The sequence below is a fragment of the Homo sapiens genome, chromosome X (assembly GCF_000001405.40).
Source record: "Homo sapiens chromosome X, GRCh38.p14 Primary Assembly".
NCBI classification, from domain to species: Eukaryota; Metazoa; Chordata; class Mammalia; order Primates; family Hominidae; genus Homo; species Homo sapiens.
Window position 1 is genome coordinate 6,220,768 of NC_000023.11, and position 10,004 is coordinate 6,230,771.

Below are 10,004 nucleotides of genomic sequence, written 5' to 3' on the forward strand. Positions count from 1 at the left end.
CGCTCTGTCACCCAAGCTACAGTGCAATGGCACGATCTTGGCTCACTGCAACCTCCCCCTCCCAGGTTCAAGCAATTCTCCGGCCTCAGCCTCCTGTATAGCTGGGATTACAGGCACACACCACCACACCCAGCTAGTTTTTGTATTTTTAGTAGAGACAGGATTTCGCCATGTTGGCCAGGCTAGTCTTGAACTACTGACCTCAGGTGATTCGCCCACCTCAGCCTCCCAAAGTGCTGGGATTACAGGCGTGAGCCACCACGCCTGGCCAACTTTATAACTTTCATTGTACATTTTCTATTTTTATTTATTATTTATTTATTTATTTATTTATATTTTTAGAGATAGGGTCTTGCTCTGTCTCCCAGGCTGGAGTACACTGGCGTAATCATAGCTCACTGCAGCCCTGAACTCCTGGGCTCAAGTGATCCTCCCACCTCAGCTGGAACCACAGGTACTTGCCATCAGGCCCGGCTAATTTGTTTTTAATTTTTGTTTCTTTGTGGAGTTGGGGTCTCACTCTATTACCCAGGCCAGATGTTATGAGTTGTTTAATATAGATTTGGTGAATGATGAGGATAAGAAAAAGAAAATAATGGAAAACCACATTTTTCCTTCTTATATTATATATATATATATATATATATATATATATATATATATTTGCTTTTATCTAATGTGTTGCAATGGCTGAGAAAAACATTTTCAGCAAAGACTAGTTCCTAGTTAATGTGTTAGCATATGCATACATGTATGTGTATACACCCGCTCATACACACTGCCATTCTTACCATGTAGCTTCAGGGCATGAGGGCATATTGTCTCACTTAGGAAAACAGTTAACAATGACATATTTTGTTTGTGAAAACATGCATTTACTTTTGTGAGTTTCCCCACCTAACCCATTCACAGAGTTATAGTCACAGAGAGTACTGAAGAGTGGAATAAGTTAAAGGCACTCAGTTGCAGCGAGCTTCTTCTGCCCCCATCCCCCATGCTTTTGAGACCACAGTTCCATGCTGAACAGCTCTGACCATTGGAGTCACACGGCATGCCTCACTGAGTTCTTGGACTTGCCCGTCCCATACTCCAGAGCCACATATTGGTGGTGTTGAAATACTAAACATGGAAAATGGCACCGCATGCAACTTCACCACAGCCATCATCACAGAACCAAAGAGGCCTTTTCTGCACTTTACAAAAACAAACCACAATTCACCATAGCTCTTTTATCAGTGCCAATAACACTTTTAGTAACCTCAGTCCTTTCTTTTTTAAAGGATCCAAAAACTTACCAAGTAATGCAACTTGAAACAACCCAAGTTCCTTTTCAGCTTATATGACAGGCTAAGTTTCACTCCTGAAAAAGGTGCCCTTAGCAAAATCCGTGTCCCCTCTCCCCAACCAAAGCATACAAACAACCAAACAAAAACAAACAGAAAATGAGCCTGGATGAAGGGTTGATGTGGGAGCCGGACAGATGCCCACAGATGTTAATAAAATCACATGTCTGGGGTGATGGCTTTGAGATCCAAGTTTTCATCATCCAATCAGGTACCAGCCTCTTAAAACCAAAATGATCACCGATATTAACAGGTGGAGCTAAGAAAGTCCTGTTGTAAGCCAAAAATAGCACTCTGTTACTTTGACAAACCATGATTTCTTTATATAATATACATTTTAAATAAAACAACCCAAACAAAATTCTGGGCCATTTATCCACATTTCCAGAGAGCAGTGAAAGCCTAGATCGTTTCATTAGCACTATACTGAAATTAACATTTCTCTCTTTGAAATGTATTCCTCAACTAATGAGGACCTAAATGTTCATTGTACTTCATCTCCTTTCTAAATTATGGAGGATTACTCTTTTCCTGTCTCAAATAAATTCAATAAAACCTCATGATATGGTTTGGCTTTGTCCCCACCAAACCTCATCTTGGATTGTAGCTCCCATAATCCCCACGTGTCGTGGAGGGATGTGGTGGGAAGTAATTGAATCATGGGGGCAGTTTGCCCCATGCTATTCTTATGATAGTGAGTAAGTTCTCACAAGATCTGTTGATTTTATAAGGGGTTTCCCCCTTCACTCGGTTCTCATTCCTCTCCTTCCTGCCATCATGTGAAGAAGGAAGTATTTGCTTCCCCTTCCACCATGATTGTAAGTTTCCTGAGGCCTCTCCAGCCATGCTGAACTGTGAGTCATTTAAACCTCTTTCCTTTACAAATTACCCAGTCTTGGGTATGTCTTTTTTAGCAGCCTGAGAATGGATTAATACACCTCATCTCACTATATATATAATAATAAGATATATAGTGTATTTTTATATACATGATGCAGACCTTACTATAATATGTATTACCATATATATATTATATAGTAGGATACATATCTTACTATATATAGTTTTTTATATACGTATTTTAGTATTGTTGGGGTTAGGTCTGTTCTCCTTCAGGTACCATTTCTGGGAAGATGAGAGTGCCTTGGGAAGATGTGGTGTATGGAGGTGTTCCGCACACACCTGGGACACGTGAACTGAACACGAGATGTCTAAAGTTTGAAATCTCAGCCCGAGGTAGATGGGCTGTTTTCCACCACCAACCTTCCACTCCCGTAATGATTTTATGAGGCTTTTATTTACTTATTTTTTGTTTAATGTAACCACCTGCAGAGGGAAAGCCTTTTCATCTATACATTTATTCAAAGCCTATAAATGGCACAATGACAAACTGCTAGGAGCTATCACCTTCTTTTTTTTCTTGTTCATGTGTGCTACTGTGCTCCAAGAAAAATGAGGAAGGGCTTCCTACACTGCCGTTCACTTAACAAAGAACAGTGGAGCCTTTCAAAGTCCAAATGTAGGTTGTTTAGAGAAAAATGACAGAACTGGAAAATATTCGTTGAGTGAATGGTAGTAGAGAGCACAGCAGATGACCTAATTGCCTCAGCAGCCTGGGCTTCAATTTTGATTCTCACTTCCTCTAATTGACTGTGCAAAAGATGTATCTTTGATTTAAAACTGGTAGCTCAGGAGTTTAAGAAATCAGTGGTGGCTATTCAAATCTGTCTGAATATCCATTCACATAATTAAATAGGAGACGAAGTCTCTCCTCTGAAAAAGTACAGTACTCAGACAAAAACACACACAAAAAGAGCAACAGATTTAAACTAAACTGAACATATTTCCCCATTTGGGAATAGAATACATATTGTTAAAAGGCAGAAAGCAGTACAGAAAGAATACATTCTGGTTTACAAACTAAAATCGTGTCTCTTACACTTGACATTCACATCTTAAGACCAACTCTCACCTTATTTGGAATATAAGTATATTTTAACCAGATAAGCCTATCTTTAGAAGGAGGATACTAAAGGACTTAAAATATTTGTATATTGCTACTTCATTTGAATGCAATGCATTCGCTCAACAAGTTGCATTATTGGCAATATTCAACAGTATTACAAAAGGTTTGAAATGTGGCGTACCAATTAAAAAGAAAGAATGTTAAACGGAGGTCATTCCCTCGTGCACTTGAATGTTTAGTTTTTTGAGAACCTTTTGGTTGTGGTCTAGAAATAAAAGCACAGTATTCCAAATGGCTTTTAAAGAGACCCCTGCACTTCCAAAAGCAAGTCTCTGTTGCGGAGTCAGTCAACACTCTCATCTTTGTGGAGAGACTATAAGCTTTCCACAAATTACTACACACAAAACAATGAAATAGCCAAGTTCACAAATTTTAAAAAATCTATATATTTACCATTAGGCTACATTCCAGGCCAACAACTATGAACTTTCAAATTCTTTCAAGTCTGCTTGTAAATTTCACAGCATCAAGATAACTTCATTATCTACCTTATGCAGCCACCAGTCCCTTATCAAGTATCTGTTACATTCTCAGGTTTGGGTAAAAATCAGCTAGGTTACTGGTTTGAGGGCCAACTGTATACTCGGCATTAGTTTATTTAAATAAAACGCAAAGAAAAGTAGCAATTCTTCCACTGGAGAAGAAAACATCAAAGCATCTTTAAAACTGCATCCACGCACAGGCATTATTATGAAAATGCAATTATTATTCTGATTTCAAAAAAAAATGAAGCCTTCCATTTTAATCTACTGACTTAAAACTGATGAAGTAATTTTCCACTTGCTACAACTGGCCCTGATTATGTTCTTACATGTCAAAGAAAATACTCTTTAAAATGGCCATATATATATATATATATATATATATATATATATACACACACACACACATATATGTAGAAATGTAGAATGCGTGTGTGTATGTCTGTATACACACATACACACACACGCATTCTACATTTCATTGAGTAATAAAATACTGAATTTCTAATCTGAGAAAATACATGCTTGCAGAGTTCTCCATGAAATTCCTGTATTCTTAATTTTAGGATACACAGAAATTCCATATTTTTTTCTGGAAATACAGGGATTAATGCAACCATGTGCCATTAGCCATCCCTCCCCCACTTAACATTTTGCTCATTTCCACAGGAAAATCTATGCTGAGGATTTAATGGATTACTGCTAACATCTTCCCCACAGCCAACTAAAGGTATGAAATAATTCTCCACTCTCCAAATCTGCCCCCACAAAACGGCAGATTTCTTTGCTATCTGATTTCACCCCGCTCTGCCATCCCCTAGGAAAAGGCTCAGTGCGTCCATTCAAACCATGCAGGTCTCTTGCAGTTTCTGCCGCTTTGTTCTCATCAAAGTCAGGTGTTTGCACCCTGGCCATTTAATTTCTAGCTGGAGAAGGAAGCTACCCCGGATTTCTTAAGCATGCACTTCTATGTTGCCCGCAGAACGCCCACACAAACTGGCAATTCTGCTTCGTCAGGATAACGAGGTCTCCCTAAACTTTTTCTTTTCCTTTTTTTTCTTTCTTTTTTTCTTTTTTTTTTTTTTTTTTTTTTTTTTTTTTTTGCTTTTGCCTTCCTCACATCACCGGAAGGGCTGATTCTGAGATGGGAGCTCACGCACACCACCCCCTTTCAAGAAAATATAATGCAACGCGCTCCGATGTAAACCCTACGGGCAACGGATGCCTTCAAAAAGCATAAGATAAGAGCAACAACAACAACAACAAACCACCGCCCCCCCCAAAAAAAATGACCAAATAGAAATAAAATAAAATAAAAATAAAAAGAAGCCATACTACCACCTTGTGGATCCAGCTCGCAAGAACATCACCTGCTTAGTTCCAAAACCCCCACCCAACCCCCACCCCAAATTTCTTAAGTTGGGTCCAAATGACAGATCGGGATCCTCTGTCCTCACTCCCCGCAGACTCGCCCAAGCCCTAGGCTGAATTCGTGACGCGCGCGCCCAGCACCCGGGCGAGTTGCAAGCCCCGGCGCACCGCAGGGGCCAAAACCCCGCCGGAACCTCCTAGGACCCCTTCACGCTGCCTCCTGCACCCCCTCCCCCGCCATCCCCGAGATAGCAGCAGCACATACACAAAAAGAGGCTGACACCTGCCGTAGGTTCAGAGGAAGAAGGCAGAGAAAAAGAAACCCGCAGTCCGGAAAAAAAAAAAGCCTTCTGGGGAAGGGGAGGGGTATGATGCGGAGGACGTCCTCCGGCTGCCCCTCGCTCTCCATGCAGAACATCCGTTCCCAGGGTGGCCCGGGCCAGGCCTCGGGGGTGCAAGGGTTGGCCTGACCCCCCTGCTCCCGCCCCCGCCGCTCCGGGAAGAAAGGGCGCTGTGTCTGGCGGCGAGCAGGCGCCGGAATCGTGCGCTCGGGCCCAGGGTTGCACGGAGCACTGGGCCCGGATACCGGGGGCGCAAAGCTTCGGGTGCGGCCCAGGAGAACCCCGCCGAGGGACCCCAGCCTACCGGTTCTCGGAGGGGCGAAAGAGCCAGGTCAGGTTGAGGGACAGGAGGAGGAAGGGGTGTCCAGGAGACTGACTGAAGGATGAGAGTGTCCTCCGGGGTAGCGACCGGCCTCTTGGAAAACCAGAGGCGGAGGGAGCAGCCGCGGAGTGGAGGGCGCAGGCCGGGACCTGGGCCTCTCCTCCCACAGCAAGCCCCCCACCCACGCATCATCTGCAGCCGAGCGGCACCTACCTCCCTCTCCCTACCTCATCCCCGCTCGCGCTTCCGCAGGTCAGGCCACGCGGGTGCCAGCGCGGGCTGTGGGCGCCCCAGCCGCGGCCTTGGGGAGGGGTCAGGACTGAAGTTCACTCTCTCTCTGCGTGGTCTCGAAGCCCCTCGCCCACCCCGCACTGTCTCCTCCGCCGCCGGCTGCGCGCTTGGCGGATCTTCTCCATCAGTTCTGCCCACTGGAGTGGGAAGGGGCTGAGCCGAGCCGCGCGGGAATTGGGAGGCGGGGAAGCGGGGAGGCGGGGGAAGAGACGAGATGAAATCGGCCCGGGACAGCAGAGAGGCTTGGGATGGGATGGAAGGGAAGAGGGGGTGGCGGTTGCGTTTTCCAGGGCTGTAGAGGTGGTGCGCCTATTGGAACCGACTCCTCAGCCTCCTCCCCCGTCCCCACCTCGGGGACTGGCGGACCGTGCGCCCCGCAGGCTTAACACTCCCCCCGACACCCTCGCTCCGAGAAGGGGTGTTCTCAGTGGGCACCGACTAGGGCTCCAGATCCCCCGAGACCCAGACCAGGGCTCCGGTAGTCTGTCCTCGCAGCTTCCAACTTTTCCGCTCCTTCGGAAAAGCGGGCAGTTCAGAGATGGTTCCCAGGGCGGCAGCTGCAAGCCCCCCCGCGCCCCCCTCAAAGGTTCAGACTACACTCAAAGGCTCCGAAAGAAGCAAAACCACCAGCTCTACCCTCCTTCTGCGGCTTGCCTCACCCTTCCCACCCGCCTCGAAACCCACACACACGGGAAAGGGGTGCATGGAGCCCGCTCCCCGGTTTACAGAAGCAGCCCGGAGCTACCGTCATTTCATCTTCACGCGGGGTCTCCAGCGCGCCTGGATCGTTCCCTAGCCAAGCCAAGCCAGGTCTAATCAATCACGTGCGTTATTTCGTGCATCACCCAAGCCGTCATCTTATCCGAGGCCCGGAGATGAAGGAGGGAAAAAAAATCGCTTAAATGCGACCCCAACCAAGCCGGTTTTCCCTTTTTCTTTCTGGTTAACAGCACCCCCCCAACCCCTCAAAAAAGCACCCCAGGCGGTGGTAGCTGACAGTTTTCTTAAAGAATAAGGGGGGGGGGTGGGGGGGGAGAGAAAAAGAAAAGAAAAGCCTCCCATGCCTCACAGTTTGCAGAAGTCTTCCTGCCTTCACCATCTCCAGCCCTGGCCGCTTCTCTCCTTCTTCTCCCTGTACTGCAGATACATATATATTTTTTTCCTCCTCTCCCCGCCACAGTCTTCTGTTTATTTGTGTGGAAGGCAGCGCTACTTTGTAAACACATCACACACGGCCCCAGAGCCGTTCAAATAGCTGATTGCAGCAAAACGCTTCCAAACAACGGTGGTCTGGATTTTTCTCTTTAAGTGAAAATAAAACCAAATATTTCTGTGGAGAGGTTGCATGTAAAAACCGTATGAAGGTCTACACTCCCACCCACACCTAAGAAATGCAGCGAGACAGATGGGAGAAAGTCCTGTCCAAATTTTCCAAAAATAATATTAATAATCATAAAAGGAAAAAATAAAGATCAGATGAAGTGAAGCTCAAGTATCTGCAGTGAGGCTTTCCATCCTTTGCTGCAAGTCAAAATGTTTAAACGGCTTTTTAAAATGAGAATAATGTCCCAGAGACAGGTCTTAAAACTGCACCTACCTTAGCTTTGGAAGAGCTGCATCGGCCGTTAAGAGTTCTTTTTACACGTCCAGATTTTTCTAGGGAACCCGAAACGAGGTATGATTCAGGAGGATGTATTGAAAGCCCAGGAGCCTTCCCCTTCTGGAACCCCCCAACTAGATTTCCTCATCCAGAGGAATGCAAGAGCCACCAACACCGCCTAGTTTGGAGGAAATTCGTTGTTTCTGCCGCCAATAGTCTGTGGACGGGCAGAACAAGCATTACAATTGAAGCAGGAAGGGCCAAGCTAGTGGCTGAATAAGAGCTCTGTGCTAAGAGACAGAGAAGGGAGAGAGACGGTTCTGCAAGAAAAAGAGAGATTGAGGAGAGAGGTCCTGCTGTCTCCGGGGCTCTCCCTCTGCCATTGGACCAAACTGAATGAAATTTACAAAGCCAGCAGCCAATAGATCTCCGGAGTCGGCCCCATCACTACAGAAACCACATCCACAGCTACAACCTCATGCAAAGAGCTGCTAATCCCAATGCAAACCAGCTGTAACGGAGAGATCCCGGGTACTCGGGAGATAGAGCAGGTGGGCATGGCAAACGGTGCCACCGCACCAGACGCGTACAGCAAACCTTCTTCCTCTTTGCTTTTTTAGGACTCTCTAGATACCCTCCACACCAAACATGCTGCAGTATATGCAAACATCTTTAACTGTTTAAGGTCACGATCTCCAGCAGTCTCTATGTCTGCGTTATTGTAATTCATTTGGGAAGCAATGATATAAAAAAAATTTTTAAGAGCAGCAAAATTTGGAATACAGTTCTGTAAAGTACAGGACCTGTTTTATGCTCAGGGTATGGTTGAGAGGGGATCGATGAAAGCTTTTTGTTTACTTCTATTCTTATACTTTCATGATTTTGATAAAATGTTGGAATTGTGCCCAGGATGAGGCATTTGTTTTTAAATACGCCTCTTCATTTCCAGGGTCCAGGAGGTTATCTTTCCCAGGGAGTTTCAAGTTGCGGGGGGCGAGGACGGGGGTATGACCCCTGTACTTAAAGTTGAGTTGGAGAAAGTTGGATTTAAATTGGCAATGCAAAGATCAGAGGGCATAATAGAGTGTTGTGACAATGAACACGGATTTTAAAATGAGATTGCTTGGGTTCAAGATGCATGTGACCTTAGGTGTGTATTTTAATCGTTTGCCTCCATTTCTGTATCTGTAAAATGGAACAGATAATCACCGTGTAATACTGTAATGATTAGCTGAGTTAATGTGTGGGGCCAGGTAGTCTTCACAACAATATTACATGGTGATTACTTTTATTCTTCTGCTTGGCCAGAAAAGTTAGCTTTTCTTAAAATTATTTCATGGCCCATTAATTCATTTATGGAAGGAAAAAGATAGTGTCCGCAACACATAGGATATCCTCCTAATTGCTTCGGCTTTAGGCAGTAAACCAAAGCATGAAGCCTGCCATGGTGATGTGAAGGATATTTGGGCAGCCTGACCAATAATGGGGAAGGTGATAGACACCAATTTGGGGACCTGGTTTCATGTTAAGACTCTATCCTCACAAACTTTGCCTTGTTGTAAAGTCAGTTATGTTCTGTGAATCTGTTAAACTGAGATTAAAATTACCTTTCCTGTGGATTTCTTGTGGAGACTAAATGAAATAATATGTATAAAAGCACCTTTTACCAACAAGATAGGTACATAAATATACACTTATCTATTAATAGATATCTATACCCAATAATAAAAAAAAATATATCCATCCATACATACGTGTGTGTTCCAATTATTGGATAGATATTTAGAAATATGCATGTACTTTTTCCGTTATTGTATAGATATTGAAGACCCATTAACATAGTAATATTGTTAATAAGTATAGCTTATTCCCCAAATCAGTGATATACATGGATATGGATATATAGCTGCAGATATATGGACATATATATAGATATCTATATCCTAAACTAAAGCAGAATCTCACCTTGAACACAGTAATTTATAGTAGGCCAGAAAGTCATGGGTTTTGCCAAGAATGTATTAATTCATTGACTTATTCATAAATTCAGGGTTGTTTTTTTTTTAGCACTGGTGCAGTCCTAAGCACTGACATGCATCTGTGAGTGAAACTCATCCATTTATTTTTGAGAAAGCATACAGTCTAGTGGACAAGATAGCCAAAAGCATGAGAAAAAATATGATTACAAGAAGGTGTGCACAAGGAATACATATGAATTCATAGGGACC

General features: G+C 44.2%; 1 protein-coding gene and 1 long non-coding RNA gene across 16 annotated transcripts in view; one reads left to right on the forward strand and one right to left on the reverse strand.

Annotated features, from left to right (window-relative positions):
- The window catches only part of NLGN4X (neuroligin 4 X-linked), a 338,826-nt gene extending 330,726 nt beyond the window's left edge, over positions 1–8,100 (reverse strand). For 3 of the 15 annotated variants that reach the window (NM_181332.3, XM_005274564.4, NM_001282145.2), the window contains exon 1: positions 7,774–8,100. The gene's annotated coding sequence lies outside the window, so the exon portion shown is untranslated. Of the gene's footprint in view, positions 1–5,487; positions 5,938–6,098; positions 6,321–6,921; positions 7,081–7,240; positions 7,698–7,773 lie in introns of those variants that run through there. The other 12 variants (NM_001282146.2, XM_005274565.3, NM_001441322.1 and 9 more) reach the window with 9 other exon arrangements.
- Positions 5,591–9,524, forward strand: LOC105373156 (uncharacterized). Its single transcript, NR_136577.1, has one exon. It is a non-coding gene; the product is annotated as an uncharacterized LOC105373156 (long non-coding RNA).